Source organism: Homo sapiens, chromosome 8 (genome assembly GCF_000001405.40).
Source record: "Homo sapiens chromosome 8, GRCh38.p14 Primary Assembly".
Classification (NCBI taxonomy): domain Eukaryota; kingdom Metazoa; phylum Chordata; class Mammalia; order Primates; family Hominidae; genus Homo; species Homo sapiens.
In genome coordinates, this window is record NC_000008.11 from 17,885,253 (window position 1) to 17,902,762 (window position 17,510).

Below are 17,510 nucleotides of genomic sequence, written 5' to 3' on the forward strand. Positions count from 1 at the left end.
CAGGCTGGTTGCGAACTCCTGACCTTGTGATCCACCCATCTCGGCCTCCCCTGCAAAAATGTAAAGCGCTTTAAAGTGCTGCTTTACTATGTGTCCAGTATTTCTACCAGCCTCTTTGCTTTTCCCACATAGTTAAGTTTTTTCAATGACAAGTCACTATAGGTTTAATGCAAAATGAAAGAAAATTCAGATAAAAGCAGGCATTATAAATATGACAATAGTTTTCCCAAGAAGCTTACCGAAATTTCCCTGCCCATTGTCAGAGCGGTGGTAACAAGGATGAAACTGAACACCTTTGCCATGTTCCCCCTTGAAAAAACTGCAAGAACAAAAAGAATTTTATAAATGTATCAACCTTGAATTTTTCATGAGACCAGAGTTCAGACTTCAGTAGCTCCAGGAAGTCGGATGCAGCCGCAGGCCATCCCTAATCTTAGAGTCGCCGAGGAAATTCTCCCAGACTTTCCCAGCCTCTCACCACACAGAATGACACTGAGTGTTAACTAGAATTGAATCTGTTTCATCACAAAAACAGAGGAAGGACTCTGGTTCTTTTCGCTATCCTAATGTGCTGTTTGTGTTATGCTGTGGAAAGGCACAGGAGCATTTTAATCAGTTATTTAATGTTACACATCAAGGAAGTGGCGTAGTCAAAATCTGCACGCTGGTCTCTGCTTATGGAGCTTGTGTCTTTTTCTCCCTATGTTGTGAGGCTGGTCTCAAACTCCTGGGCTTGAGTGATCCTCCCGCCTTGGCCTCCCAAAGTGCTGGGATTACAGGCGTGAGCCACTGCCTAGAGTAAGATTTTTGAAAGCAAAGGTCACACCTTGCTAATTTTGGTATCCCTAGCATTTAATTCTTGTGGTGACCCCAATAACTGTTGTTGCTTCTACGGAATTATTCCTCAGGAGGCAAAATCGTTCTCAGAGGGAAAAATGTAATTTCCTTGCTTTAAACTACAGTCTGTTTATACTGACATACTTTCCTCTTTTACTGGAAAACAATGGGCTAAGTATAGTTTTGAAGGTAAGAGTTAAGAAGGAGTTGGGGACTTTTGGTTTGATTGAACACATGAATTTAATTTTTTCCTTCTCACAAAGCCCACTAGAAAATGAGTGAAGAAAAAGTTTAAAAGATGCGAACTGACAAAGTCAAAGAGAAAGGGAAAGAACAGCTAGTGTGCAATGTCAGCAAGTTGGTAGATGATAAAAAGGCATGTGGGGGGCCTGGTGCGGTGGCTCACGCCTGTAATCCCAGCACTTTGGGAGGTCGAGGTGGGCAGATCACTCGAGGTCAGGAGCTCGAGACCAGCCTGGTCAACATGGCGAAACCCTGTCTCTACTAAAAATACAAAAATTAGCCAGGCGTGGTGGTGGGCGCCTGTACTCCCAGCCACTCGGGAGGCTGAGGCAGGAGAATTGCTTGAACCCGGGAGATGGAGGTTGCAGTGAGCCGAGATCGTGCCAATGCACTCCAGCCTGGGTGACAGAGTGAGTCCCTGTCTAGAAAGAAACGAAATGAGAGGAGAAGAGAGGAGAGGAGAGGAGAGGAGAGGAGAGAAGAGAAGTAGGGGAATTGGCAAAGCAGCAGTAGAGAGGAGCACCATGAGAAGCGAGAGAAGTCACAGTGTAGCACCCTAGGGGATTCTGGATTGGAGGCACTGCTAGCTTGGAAGTGAAGGTAGAGGCAAATGGGCTAACAGTCAGATCCTCATCTAAATCCTGTGCAGCCAGGTGAATGCTGCTTCTCGTACCCTTTCAGAATATGGAAGATTTACTTTCTATTAAGATTGCCCAGAGATGCTCCAGGTGACATGACAGCAGAAGTGCTGGAGGGGAGGAGAGAGACCCTGTTCAAAAAGGGTGAGGCTTTCCCAGGCTTCTTCTCTTGCAGCCAGGCAACCGGCTCTACACTCTTCCTACCACTTTCCAGGCCAAAGAACATAGGATTCCTCGCTGGAGGAACAGCAGAGCTTCACCGAAAAGATCTTCAGAGACTGACATTGGAGGATTCTCCATCAAAGGAGGCTTTTCCTTGACTGATCGCTCTCCAAAGAATCCCACCAGTTGGGAAGCCTCCTTCATGCACCTGGGAGAGGTATAAAAGGTATAGGCACACTATTCTGCTTATTTCTTTCAACGTAAGTCTTCTTTCTGAAGAGAGGCATATTTTACATTTCATTCTCTGTCCACATCAAATGGTCTAAAGAGAAACACCAAATTTCTGTATTACAACACTGGGCAGAAATTCATATGATAGCAATTAGTCATGACTTAACCCTTTCACCCAACACTGTGAACAAAATAACCAAGATGGGCCGGGCGTGTTGGCTCACACCTGTAATCCCAGCACTTCGAGAGGCCGAGGCGGGCGGATCACTGAGGCCAGCATGGCCAACATAGTGAAACCCTGTCTCTATAAAAATACAAAAAATTAGCTAGGTGTGGTGGTGGGTGCCTGTAATCCCAGCAAATTGGGAGGCTGAGGCAGGAGAATTGCTTGAACCTGGGAGGTGGAGGTTGCAGTGAGCCGAGATCACGCCACTGCACTCCAGCCCAGGTGACAGTGCGAGACTCCATCTCAAAAAAAAAAAAAAGTATCTCTAGACCCATTTTTCCATTAAAGTTATCCTTTTAAACATATGATATAATTTGTAGCAACAATTTATAAGAACTCTGGCATTTCACTCTTTATTTTATCTTAGTAAATATTTTTTCTTTAAAATTCAATTGTATATTGAGTATGTACCTATCTTAGGCCCAGTGATAGAAATAGTAGTCTTAGGCCCAGTGATAGAAATAGTAATCTTAGGCCCAGTAATAGAAATAGTAGATGTTTTTATATGTAATGTATTAAATATAATTGATTATATTAAAATATTTGCTTATGTTAAAAATAGAGAAAATTAACTTTCTGATATTTAAAACATTTACCAATGTGAAAAAGAGACACCCTCTGTGTATTTTTATAAAAGATAAAATGGGGTGAGAATAGGATTGCAAAGGAACAGAAGTCGTGACCAAATTAGAAGAAAAGATGATTAGGTTTGCTATCAATTAATATTCGCTAATTAATATAATAAGCTTGGAATTATTTAAGGAACACTTTTCTAGGTCACATTTATTATTGTCATGAAAGGTAAAATCATTTTCTTTAAGATAAAAACATTGACTGCACTAAAGAGTCATCATTTGCAATGCAGTAGTGTCCTAAATCTCTTATTCCCAGATGTCAAGATTATGTCTACAAATTAAGAAAATTTCAAGTTGAAATAAGTATTCTAAACCGAAGACATCTGATGTTAGGAGCAAATACATTTTCATTCCGATCCTGGGGGTAGTTTCATGTTTTCTTTTGTTTTTCTTTTTTTGTCTGAGGGTCCTTGGGAACACTCCTTATTCATTGTGGCTGAATTTTTTCAACATCAGCATTGAATACTACAAAGGATTGTATCAGATATAAATCAATAGTCAATAATTTTATTAAGAAGTAAAAACCATCCATTTAAACTGAATTACAGTGGGAAAATATATTTGTAAAGAAGGCTTAGAAAATAAACAATAACAATAAACTAGAATGAGATTATTTCAAGCATATATTTTCTAACTATTCGTAGGTAAAGTTTTAAAAATTGAATGGATTCTAGTCCTCTAATCCCTGTCACTAGAAAATGACTGACCTACAGCATGCTTTAGTATCTTTTCTTCACAATAAGAGAATAATATTTTAATAATGACACACAATAATTGCTAAACAGGCTTGATGGGACAGTAAGCGTAGTTCCACAAAGATGCCAAGCAGCCTGCGTGGCCTGGGGCATTATATAAAAATGAGCTAGCCATTCAAGTAGAATGTACCTCTGCAAGGCTGCAATATTACTTACATTAAAGGGCCCATCATCAAGGGGACAAGGGCTATTTCCCCAAGTCTAACGTGGATTGGAAAAATAAGGAATACTCATCTGAAACCATATTGTGTTTGTGTTTGGGCATCACTAAACACTCTGCCGAACTTTGGCTGGGCGTGGTGGCTTACGCCTGTAATCTCAGCACTTTGGGAGGACGAAGTGGGAGGATCGCCAGAGGCCAGGAGTTCAAGACCAGCCTGGCCAACATGATAAAACTCCATCGCTACTAAAAATACAAAAATTAGCCAGGTGTGGTGGTGCACACCTGTAATCCCAGCTACTCGGGAGGCTGAAGCATGAGAATCACTTGAACCTGGGAGGCGGAGGTTGCAGTGAGCTGAGATTGTCTCACTGTAGTTAAGCCTGGGTGACAGAGCGACACTCCACCTCAAACAACAACAACACTATCAAAACACTATCAAATTTTAATTGGCCATTTTATTTTATTTCATTAGCCTCACAGTGAAAATAAGAAAACAAGCACAAGGATGCTTATGATTTCTCCAGGACCATTCAGCCTCTGGGGATATCCCCTGGGAATATCTCCCAAATCTCCTGAACCTCTTTCTTTATTGCCTGGTTAATCCTTTCTTACTGTATTATGTTGAACTATAAGAAATGGCAGATGTTTGAACATTTCTGACTTAGAAAAATGGCAATTTCATTGTTTCAAATTAATGCATATTGTTTAGATAGGAAGAACACACTTGAAAATCATTATAACCATTTATACTACAATGAATACCAAAAAAATAGGTTCAAAATATACTGTTTGCAGCTTACTTGATCAGAGAGAGAACAAATTGGCAAGAACCTGTTTTTATATCAATGCTGCCTCCCATGTTAATACATTAATGTGTGCCATTTAAAATATGTTTACAAAATTGCTAATACATCATCAACACATGAAATCTCACGATGTCTTTAGAAGACACATTATGTTTACTTTTTACTAAAGGAAGCTCAAATAGTGAAGCAAAGTAACTTTCCTAAGGAAAGACTCTACGTTCAAAATTTATACAACATCCAATCATTTCTCACCACCTCTATTGCTAATGTCTGGCCCAAGCTACCAATGGAAGATTCCAAACAATTTTTTAGAATTACAATGAGACAACATTCTATACTGAGCCTTTCCTGGGCAAACCGGGATATTTGGTCATTCACCGACAAAGCTTTACATAATCTGTGAGCATCCACCTCCTCAACACATCTCTTTTCCCATCATTTTTGCCTGTTCTGGCTACATTGGCCTCTTTGGCATTTTTGGAAAACCCTGAAATACACAGACTTCTCAGGGCGATTGCACTTGCTGTTCTCTCTACCTGGAATGCTCTTCTGAAAATCTCTGTGGTTTGCTCCATGACATCCTTCAGGTCTTTGCTCAGGTATTCCCTTCCCAGAGATACCTTCCCTGACTACCACATATAAAATAACAGCTGTCCCCTACTGTCTTAGTCCATTCTCATTTTATAAATTTACCCAGTAAAGATCTGCCTGAGACTGGGTAATTTATAAAGGAAAAAGGTTTAATTGACTCACAGTTTGCCATGACTGGGGAGGCCCCAGGAAACTTACAGTCGTGGTGGAAGGGGAAGCAAACATGTCCTTCTTCACATGATGGCAGGAAGGGGAAGAGCCAAGCAAAAGCCCCTTATAAAACCATCAGATCTCAGGAGAACTCACTATCACGAAAACAGCAGCATGGGGGTAGCTGCCCCCATGATTCAATTACCTTCCACTGGGTCCATCCCATAACATGTGGGATTACGAGAACTACAATTCAAGATGAGATTTGGGTGGAGACACACGCAAACAACATCACCCACACACTTCATATCTCTATCACAATGGATTCAGTTTCTCCTTAGCACTTATCACCAAATATAATGAAATATTATAATATATGTGTTTATTGTCTACCTACTCCAACCGCCCTGTACAATGTAAGCACGAAGAGGTGAGTGGCTACATCTATTATGTATACTGCCCTAATGCTAGGTGGATAGTTAGGTACTGTACTAGTTTCTTGAGGCCACCATAACAAATTACCATAAACTGAGTGGCCTAAAACAACAGGAGTTTATTATCTCACAGTTCTGGAGGATACAAGTCCAAAATCAAGAAGAACAGGGCCATACTTCCTTCAAAGGCTCTAAGAGAAAATCCTTTCTGGACTCTTCTAGCATTTGGTGGTTGCCAGCAATTCTTGACATCCTTTGACTTGTGGCAGTATCACTCTATTCTCTGATACCATCTTCACATAGCTGTCTTTCCTCTGTGTGTCTCTGTGTCTAATTTCCCTCTTCATATAAGGACATCGGTCATTGGATTAGGGTCTGCCCTAATCCAGTATGACCTCATCTTAACTCAGTTACATGTACAAAGACCCTATTTGCAAATGAGATCACATTCACAGGTAATAAAAGTTAGGAATGTACATGTTTTGGGGGCACAGCTGAACCTAGCACAGGTACTCGACAAAATATCTACTGAATAGATGAGAAGAAAACTTGTAAACCTGAATTAGAATTGTAGAACTTCCCAGGATCTGTTATTGTAATTTCACAGTTGCTTATGGGAGATCAAATTCTTTTGTGTCTGTTGAATTTATAAGATGTCTTTATCAGATTCCCTCCATCTTCACCCTTCCAGCAACAACAAAAATAACTACTCTTAATGAATTATGCTTTTCATAAACTTTTTTGTGATTTGCAAATATGTCATGTCAATATGTAACAGCTTATTTTGGTTTTAAAAGAGACATTTGGATTTATAAAATCCCAAAAGAAAATATATACCTGAAAACATAATACCTAAGATATTTGAAAGTTGGCTCTCTCACTGGGCCAAGGTCATTACCATAGCTATCTCATAATAAGTTTTTAGTTTGACTCGTGTTTTCAGTTGGCAATAAATATGTTTTTTGAGCAAAATTATAATAGCTATGTTGCTTTTTAAATTTGTACCCTTGTGTCTTTAACTATCTAATTTTAAAATTTATCACAAAACTCAAGTAGCATAAAGGAAAAAAATAAATGCCCTTATGCAAATGGCAATTTCTTAAACATAAACAATTGCATAGTCACAGACATACAGTCATAAAGTATTTTTCATGTTACAGAAAATAAGAAACAAAAACATTTTATTATAAGGAAGCAAAAGAAAATAAAGATGGAAAACAAAATATTTAAAAAATATAAAGAGATTTTAGAAATAGCCTTGTTCCCCGAGACTAGAACATGCAGAGAAAATATAATTAGAGGAAGTGACATCATTCAGTCAAATATCATCAACACTAGAGGCTCAGAGAGGGAAAATTGTTTGCCTAAAGAAATAAAAGAGACTTTCACTAAGTATATTTACACTAGTCTGGGAAATCAGCATAACGACATGACATAAATACCATTTATTTGTGACTCCAACTCAAATTGTTCTTCTGACTGAAAATAACCAATGTATTTAATAGATTACTGATTAGGATTTTTCCTTGATAAATGAAACTGCTAAGGATTAGTAGTAAAAATAATGTCCTCTTTTTTTATGTGACAGGAAACAAATTTTCATTATTTTAATCCGCTCCCAGATAATATTCAGGAGTCAAAAATTAAAAATCATGAAATGTCTGTATCTTCTAGACTTTGCTTTAATGTTATTTGTTGAAAAATTTTTTTATTTGATTAAAGTTTTCTTATGCATTTGTGGGATCAAGTACTTTATTTCAGAAGTGAATAAATTAGCTTAAAAAGTTAGAGCTTAGCCAGGCGTGGTGGCTCATGCCTGTAATCCCAGCACGTTGAGAGGCTGAGGCAGGCAGATCACTTGGGTCAGGAGTTTGAGACCAGCATGGCCAACATGGCAAAACCCCGTCCCTACTAAAAATACAAAGAAATTAGCCAGGTGTGGTGGCACACACCTTTTATCCCAGCTACTGTGTTGGTTGAGGCATGAGAATTGCTTGAACCTGGGAGACAGAGGTTGCAGTGAGCCAAGATCACACCACTGCACTCCAGCCTGGGTGACAGAGTGAGACTCCATCTCAAAAAACAAACAAACAAACAACAACAACAAAAAACACCTAGAGCTTAAAAAAGAAATTTTCTCATTCCAATGTTTGATTCTGGCTCTTGCATAAATGGAAGTATGTTTTGAAAATGCTCTGAATGATGCACCTATATATCATATAATTTTACCTACGCACACTGTATATATACGTATATGTATGAACATAACATTATTATACATAATATGTATATATTATAGATTATATTATATATACATTATATAAGGTATATAAATATTGCTTAGCATTAGATTTAGTAAAAAATAAAGGGCTAATGAAATTTTTTTGACAGGCCTCTGTCTCTTGATGTCCTGAAATGTTTATCTCACTACCATTAAGATAATCCAATAATCAAAAAGGCACCCCCTAGTCTGGTAGCATATAAACAATAAAGCATTTCAAAATGTAATTATTTACATTTAGAAAGTCATTATATTACTTTGATTAGCTTTAGAATAATTCCTGAGAATATCTTAAGTTCTCTAAAATTTTCCATTTTCCTCCTTTGCAATTCTAACCAACATTCTCTGTAATATTGAAGAAATGCTAAGCATTAAGAAACTTGCTTTGAAATTCTGGTCTCCATCATTCATTATAGTAAACCATTATTTCTTCTGCACATCTGGCTTACAGTAAAGTTGTATCAAATTATTCTGTTCATTTATTGCACAATTAGTTGTATTTCTTTTATAATATTTTTGCCTTAGGCAGTATCAAAACTTTTAATTATTATAAAATTAAAATTGTTATCAAATGGCTGTTCTTTGGTGGACTATATTATTTTACATAATTTTAATGCTATAAATTCTAATTCCTTCCCCACTATATTTAAAAAAAATTTAATTAATTACGCTGCATTAAATTTAAAGATGAAGACATTAAATTTGTAAATGAAAAGTTCTAAAAATAATATATAATTTTTAAAAACAATTACAAAACAGAAGTACATTAGTAGCATGCAAACATTTCAAAACTGGTATGTTTTAAGCAAGCATTGTAAAAGGATATATAAAAGAAATAAAAAGGAAGGAAAAAGTTATTGAACGAAGTATGTTTAATAAGTTAGCATTCACAAACGCTATAGGACTATAATGCTTAGGACTATAACCTAAGTCAGTGAGTTAAAAATGTACCCATAAACACAAGCTTAGAGACTCCTTTTAAGCTATTTCCTTCCAAATTTTTTCCTCTTTCTGAAAATGGAATATAACTGTGCTTTTGTATTTTTCTTAAGAATCCATACTCACTGAAAGCCTTACAAAGCTAAATATAGTTGATCCCTCAAGAAATGCAATAAAGAAAAATGTTTCTGAAGTTTTTTGACTTCTGAAGTGAAAATTGTCATATAGTCCATTTTATTTTTAATTTTTTATACTGAAACTGTAAACCTATCATTTACGTCAAACTCCCATGCAATTCATTCAAAATGTAAAGGAAATTATACAAAGTGAGACTCCATCTCAAAAAACCAACAAACAAACGACAACAACAAAAAACGCCTAGAGCTTAAAAAAGAAATTTTCTTATTCCAATGTTTGATTCTGGCTCTTGCATAAATGGAAGTATGTTTTGAAAATGCTCTGGGTGATGCACCTATATATCATATAATTTTACCTGCGCACACTGTATATATATGTATATGTATGTACGTAACATTATTATACATAATTATGTATATATTATAGATTATATATACATTATATAAGGTATATAAATATTGCTTAGCATTAGATTTAGTAAAAAATAAAGGGCTAATGAAATTTTTTTGACAGGCCTCTGTCTCTTGATGTCCTGAAATGTTCATCTCATTACCATTAAGATAATCCAATAATCAAAAAGGCACCCCCTAGTCTGGTAGCATATAAACAATAAAGCATTTCAAAATGTAATTATACATATTTAGAAAGTCATTATATTACTTTGATTAGCTTTAGAATAATTCCTGAGAATATCTTAAGTTCTCTAAAATTTTCCATTTTCCTCATTTGTAATTCTAACATACCTTATTTGTATATCTGTATATTTGTATATCTGTATATCTGTAACAAAAGATACATAATTCTAAATCTCTTCTCCAAGTAGCAGAAGCAGACTCCTTGCTAGTCAACCTGACTTCTTGCAAAAGCTAATGGTTGTTACCTGAGTTTTGGTTACTATCATACCTGTGAAATAAATTAGCATTATTACAAGCATGTCAAAAATGCAGAGACATTAAATAACTTGCCTAAAGTCAGAAGTGAGTCAGAGACCCAGCTCAGGTTCCATCCAGACACTCTGCTTCCCAGGATCCTGTAACTGCATTGGGAATTTGTAATTATTTCTCCATTATTTGATTAGAAATAGGGACAATGTTGATTCTGGCTTCAATCCAGAAACAAACATGTGGACACAGGTTTAACTGAAAGAAAGCTAAAAGAGAAGATTCAAGGACAAATCCCAATACTCTGATATTTTTCTTTTTTCCCCACTTGTATGACTTTTTGTGAAAGATCCAATAATATATCTTTATAAAGATATATATATTTTACAACTTATTATTATGTTCATTCAGAGAATTTTTGTACTGTAACTTCAATAATGTTCCATTGAAGATTAAGTAAAAACGAAGTCCAGCTGAAACTTTGCTTTGTATTAAGGGTAATAACATTTTACCCACAAAAATATGAATTAATATGTCATCTCAACTAAAATATGGAGATAAGCCAAATTTTTCCTAGTTATAAAAAACAAGGCAGGTTAATAATTGCCAAGGTGAAATGGTCAGTTTATTTGCTCTCTAAGAAAAACAAAAGTATTCCCTGAGGTGCAAAATTGTGAAATTTAACTGGAAGCATCGATTATACTCTGGACAAGTTGTTCCTTTTGTTTTAAAATCCTCTAGAAGATTTTCTAATGTGTAATAGGCACTTGTTAGCTCCATTAATCGTATTGTGTAACAGTTTCTTACTGGAAATCTGGGTTCATCATTTCTTCTTTCCTTCTGATGTAACTCAAGCAGTTGTTTGCCATTTGTCCTGTGGTCCCTATTTATTCACTCAGATTCCAGTAAAATACCAAAGTTTTGTTTTCTTTCTGTTCTTTGTTATCTACTGGACTTGAGCACTGACGATGTTTGGTCTTCCCATTAAACATCTTCCTGTCCTTCACGTGGACATTTTGAAGATTATTAAGGGAAAGGTAATCCTGTTGATTTACTGGAAAAAAGAAGGAAAAAAAAAGCCAGTTAGACTGAAGTGATTTGCACACACACAGAAGAAGTGGAAATTATACATTCATAATTGTAGAGAATTCAAGCTGCTAATGTTAAATTTCAAAAGCAAAAATATGGGATTATTCGGCTAATTCAATAATGATCTCTGTGGTAAAATGACATATTTTGAAATACAAACTTATCTTTCCTTCTTGTATGCCTTTAGCTTTGTCCCCATTCAAGCAATAATTTAGCCTTGTGTTCATTTCCTCACTGGAGGGACATAACATTAACAGCAGCTAACATGTGGTATACTTATCATGTGCTAAACATGGTAATTTTATCAACTCACTCAGCCACACAGCCCTATAAGTAGGTACTGTTAATGATCTCCATTTCACAAATGACGAAACTGAGACACAGAGGTTTAAGTGACTTGCACGAGGTCACACAGCTAACAAGAGGTATAGCTGGGCTCAAAGGCAATCCTGCTCAGAATCTGTCCTCTTTTCTACTAAAGGTAGACTATGCTGTCTTTCGGAAACTTGGCTAGCATCATTACCTCAGGAGAAACTTGCAAAAGTTAATCAGGCAGTAAGGACTACTCTAGGGCCAATACTTTGTGGAGGAATTCCAAAAGCCAAATTTTCTTGGAGTAACATTATTCCATGGATGTACTGCCATAACATGGTGGAAGAACTATCATCAGGAAAGGTCAAAATTATGGCCAGGTGCGGTGGCTCACGCCTGTAATCCCAACGCTTTGGGAGGCTGAGGCAGGTGGATCACCTGAGGTCAGGAGTTCGAGACCAGCCTGGCCAAAATGGCAAAACCCCATGTATTTTTAGTTTCTACTAAAACTACAAAAATTATCCAGGTGTGGTGGTGGGCGTCTGTGGTACCAGCTACACAGGAGGCTGAGGAGGAGAATTACTTGAACCCAGGAGGCAGAGATTGCAGTGAGCCGAGATCGCGCCACTGCACTGCAGCCTGGGTGACAGAGCAAGACCCTGTCAAAAAAAAAGAAAAAGAAAAAAAGCAAGAAAGAAGAGTTGTGACCTTGCACAACTGCACCAAAGCTATGAAATGAGAATGAGACCTGAGATCACTGGCTGAAAAAAGTACAAGAAAAGCATGATATAATAGGACAACAAGTACAGTCCCACCAAGATCAGGCTGATTAGGCTCTCAAACACATTAAACGGACACTGTCAATTCTTTTTTCCTTTTCCTTTTGGAAGACCTTTTTCAGAGAACTCTTCAATTAATACATCAGTTACAGCACAATTTTCATCCAAACCCTCTGGACCCTGTATTGTGCCTGCCAGATTGAACACCTGTCCATTATTTGATACTTGACCCAGTCACCGTGGGAAGGTTTAATTCCAGATCTTGCCGCCTCCAGTCCACTCAAGCTTGCAGCGAGGAACATGTCTACTTAAGGCTGCATGAGGAACTAGACTCAGACAAATGATCTTATATCCTTGACTGTATTCTACCAGCATAAATTTCTGATGGTTATATTTTCCAAACTTGACTCCCAGTTCAGGAGGCACCCTTTTATGGGACTTATAAAACTCCATGCTCTGATTACAATGATAACATTTTAAACTTCAAATGTGCCCTTTATTAAAATATTTAGAACGGAGCGTATTGTAGATATCAAGGAAAGGGGTTGTTAAGAACAGTCTTCGTTCCACACAACTAGCAGAGCTTCCTCAGGTGGAGGTAATCAAATTCCTTCCTGAAATGCTGGTTTCAATGTCATCTCAGGCAGAGTCCTGAAAAACTAGAAAGTTTATTTGCACATAACGTAGGTCTCAGAAATTTCAATGGAGAAGCATTTTAAAATTAATAAAACTAAAACAGTTTTACTAGTGAGTTATCCTAAGTATTCCCATTATTGATGTAACTAGCAGAAAGTTTACATTAATAGATGATCAATAAATAGTTCCACCTTCACACACACTTTCTGGGAAAGATTCTGACAATATGAACTAGAAAAATAAGGGTAAAGGTGGATAAAGAAAAAGAGGAAGAAAAGAAAAATTGAGGTGCTTTGTAATGTGTCAACTTGGGTAGGCCGAACTACAGTTCCCAGAATTCCTTTTGCCTTATGTTTTCCATTAGGAGCAGTTGGCAGGCAGAAAGGAAGTGGCAGCCATCTTTGCAGCTCTCCCATGCTGTAACGTATCTCGTTGGCCTTAAGATAGTGGCTAAGCCTCCAGCTGTTTCACTTCCCTTTGGATATAATTTGGAGCCTCGTTTAGCACATTACAAATGGGTCTGGCTTCTGTAGGACACCCACATCAACCAAGGTCAGAGGCAACAAGAACTGACACAGGTTTCAGTCCGTCCTCATAGATTCCAGCTCCTGCTTCTATTACGCTCATCTACTCTCTCGCTTAACTGCAGTTCGTACTTCAAGCTCCAACATCATCCCTGGAGACAGCTGCCTTTCAAAGAGTACTTAACCAGCTCCCACAGTTGCATTAAGTCAAATCCCTTATATATCCTAGAAGCTCTGCTTCTATGATTGAACTCTGCCTGTAACTCTGAGGCTCCTGGACAGGAAAGTCGAATGCCTCAGAAGGAATTTTGTCACTGCACCATTATTTCTTCCTCCCAGAGCTCTCTGTTCTTTTGCTCACATCTGGATTGCTCTCCCTCTAGGCCTGCTACATGAGGCATGTAAAAAGTAATACTGATAGACATTTGGCAGATACTCCCAAATGTGTAGCTTCAGGTTCCACACAACCTATGTCCTCCCCTGCATACTAGTTAAGATAAAATGAAACGCTTATTCACTACTCATCTTTTCAGAGCTTTCTCACCTATGTGTTTGGATTTTTTTCCCCTCTGATTCTCAAACTAATTTTAGATTGGTTCCCTAGCAGGAAGAGTACAAAGATGTTTTCTTTTTTTTTTTCTGCCACAAAAAATAAAAAGTGTTCTTGCTGAGGAATATGTTTGTTTTTCTTTCTGTGTGTTTGCAAGGACTGTGGACTGGCATTTATTTTATGCTTCTGAATAATAACATCTTTCTTATTAAAGAAGAATCTCCCCAGAAGGTCACATGTCATTAAAAAAACAATTTTAACCAAATACACGTAAATTCTAATAGAAAACAGATTTTTTACCCGTAACACATGAAGAAGAAATTTAGCTATATTGTATAAAAATATGTAGGGAAAAAAGAACACAAGAGCTCGTGTTAAGTAAAACCACATTTTAAAATACGCCTTTAGGAACACGGAAGATGGAAGGTATCAGAAGATACTTGCTTTCATTCTACTCCTCGGTGATGATGTATCTGCTTTTTTTTTTTTTTTTTTGGATGAATTTGCAGTGTATCTTTTCATCCTGATGCCTAAATCCAGTCTCTATATGTACCTCTTTTCTCCAGTTTTTAGACTTTTAAAATATTATCTTTTCATGAAGAATTCAACTAATTGGAAAATGCGTGATTCCTACCACTATGACAATATCTGAAAGTAGAATCCTCAGGGTTGCAAGCTATTCTGACAAAATTTCTGAACTCTAGCAGAAAATGTAAAAATATACATTTGACAAAAATATATTTGCCCATTTGAATTTAAATTTTGTCTTTTTTTTACTCAGTTTTTATTTCTTAGAAAAAGGAAGACAATCTAAATATAATTCCCTGAGATATAGTTTCCTTTCACTTCAAAATAACTGTACATTAGGTTGAGAGACAAAAAAATTCATTGTCTACAATTACACATACTTTCTGATTAATCTGTTGGTTAGCCCACATTTAGTTCATCAGGCACAACTTATTTTTCTGCATGTGCATTTGGGACAATAACCGGGCATATGAAACCTTTAAAATTTACATTTAAAAATTTATATTTGCACTTGGATAACTTTGCCAATAACTAGAACTCCCTCAAAAACAAAGGCTAGGTCCCTGACTCCTATAGGCATGACCAAGAGTATACTACAAAATGATTCCTCTGAGACTGAAATGTTTTTTTCCTGCTTCCCCCTCAGAGACACATTGTGGAAAAATTCTAGAACTTTTAGAATAGACATTGTGTGCTTGACTCCAGCGATCAAAGATTCTGAAATATTGAGGCCCTATTTGAGAGTCATACACTTATACTAGTTTTATTTGTTGTTGTTGTTTATAATCTGAAGAAATGAACTTCAGCCATCTAGAACAAAAATAATTGGATTTGTTGGAGGGTTACGGACTGAGGTAAGTAGTACAATCAGTGACAGACTGATACAAGCCAAGGGAAGGCAGAATAAGGAAAGCTCCAAAAATCTCTCAAAGATGTGTTCTTGGATTTATTCTGTAGTATGCAGCCCTTAAAATGTTTTAATTTCAGTGGAATTCTGGCCTCTGTGTCTGTCCATACAAATCTCACATCCCTAAGAGGGAGAATCCAATTAGCCCAGTCATCGGTATTTCTTTCTGTTTTTTTCTTTTTCTTTCTTTCTTCCTTCCTTCCTTCCTTCCTTTCCTTTCCTTTCTTTCTTTCTTTTTCTTTCTTTCTTTCTTCTTTCTTTCTTTCTTTTTTTTTTTTTTGAGACAGAGTCTCACTCTGTTGCCTGGCTGGAGGATAGTGGTGCAATCTCAGCTCACTGCAACCTCCACCTCCCGGGTTCCAGCAATTCTCCTGCGTCAGCATCCCACGTAGCTGGGACTTGGGCATGCACCACCATGCCCAGCTAATTTTTGTATTTTTAGTAGAGATGGGGTTTTACCATGTTGGCCAGGAGGTCTCGATCTCTTGACCTCATGATCCGCCCACCTCGGCCTACCAAAGTGCTGGGATTACAGGCGTGAGCTACCACACCCAGCCATCTGTGTATTTCAGTGTACACCTAGATATATGGCACCCACACACTGAGGCCACACCTTTACTCCCTGGCCCCAAAATTTTTGTCAAATGTGGCTGCTGGGTGATCTGTTGTGAGCAAGAAAAGCTCCATAGTATGTGCCATTCTCCTACTACAAAATTAGGAAATTTCAAGAGAAATGAAAGGTGGGGATCTGTCCAGTTTAATGGAAGATTGCCTGGCTCAATAAAGATGCTCGGCAAGCCTAAGACTGCATCTCCAATGACTCTTTCACCAATGAATTAACCATAATACATGTACCCTTTTCTATTGCTGTGATGTATATAGTTGTTACCTTTTTATTTGCCTATTCTAATTTCTATGTACCCTCTCTGAATGAAATAAGTCTTAATTAGCCACCAGCCCTTCTCCTAGCCCATCCACCAAGGCTAGATGTTCTCCTATGTATTTACTTCTCTTATATCACACATCACTATATTGTGTACTGGAGCTTCTCTTTTCATTCCAGGGAGATCAGGGGCTTGTTTTTTCTTATTTCAATATCCACAGCACCCAGCATATGCACACCACACAATAGAAGCTCAGAAATATTTATTATGCATGGAATAGTAATATCACCTATTTGTATTAGCATATAATGTAAATATTCAAAATTGGTAACGATTAAACTTGATAACTTACATGAAGTGCTTATGACAATGCCTGATAGAAAATATGCGATAAATTTTCGTTTCCTTCTGTCTTGAAACAATGTCATGATTGTTTAATTCGTTCTGTAAAGAAGGAGGCAGCAGGCTGGCTCCTGGGATTGGTGGCTTACACCTGTAATCCCAGCACTTTAGGAGGCCAAGACGTGTGGATCATCTGAGGTCAGGAGTTTGAGACCAGTCTGGCCAACATGGTGAAATCCCATCTCTACTAAAAATACAAAAACAGCCAGCTGTGGTGGCAGGTGCCTGTAATCCCAACTACTAGGGAGGCTGAGGCAGGAGGATCACTTGAACCTGGGAGGTGGAGGCAAGATCACACCATTGCACTCCAGCCTGGGCAACAGAGTAAGACCCTGTCTCAAAAAAAAGAGTGAGGCAGCAATGTACAACCAAAGATAATACATCATTTCATGAAGATAATTCCAATGTTAGATTAGGAAGCTACCATGTCCAGCCTGCTGCATCATTCTTTACAGAACGAATGAAAGAGTCATGATGTTATTCTTAATAATGTAGAACTATTTGTGAAATGTGGATGCAGTGAACGTTGATGCAGACAATACAATGCCCCTAAACTCATTTTACTAAGATTCCCAAATTTACTCATGCTTTAGCACAAGAATTTTACATTTCAGTTAAGAAAGGTGAAAGAAACTTCTTTAATCTGTAATGGAAGACCTTGTAGCAGAACAAAATTGCTACCAAGAAAGTTGAAAAGTAGATATATATAAGAAAAATGTTTTTGTGACCTGGATTCACAAAGTCTGGGATAATGTTCTTGCTCAACAACTATTTAAATTGGGATTCCCT

General features: G+C 37.3%; 1 protein-coding gene across 5 annotated transcripts in view; it reads right to left on the minus strand.

The window, feature by feature from the left end:
• FGL1 (fibrinogen like 1) overlaps window positions 1-10,286 on the minus strand; it is a 31,150-nt gene extending 20,864 nt beyond the window's left edge. Inside the window, exons 1-3 of one of the 5 annotated variants that reach the window (NM_201552.1) lie at window positions 10,195-10,286; window positions 6,429-6,555; window positions 240-319 (exon numbers count right to left, since the gene is read on the minus strand). In NM_201552.1, coding sequence (NP_963846.1) covers window positions 240-302 — 63 coding nt within the window. In that variant the 5' untranslated portion in view covers window positions 303-319; window positions 6,429-6,555; window positions 10,195-10,286. Of the gene's footprint in view, window positions 1-239; window positions 320-6,428; window positions 6,556-9,972; window positions 10,153-10,194 lie in introns of those variants that run through there. The other 4 variants (NM_201553.1, NM_004467.4, NM_147203.2 and 1 more) reach the window with 4 other exon arrangements.
• Window positions 10,287-17,510: the final 7,224 nt, after the last annotated feature.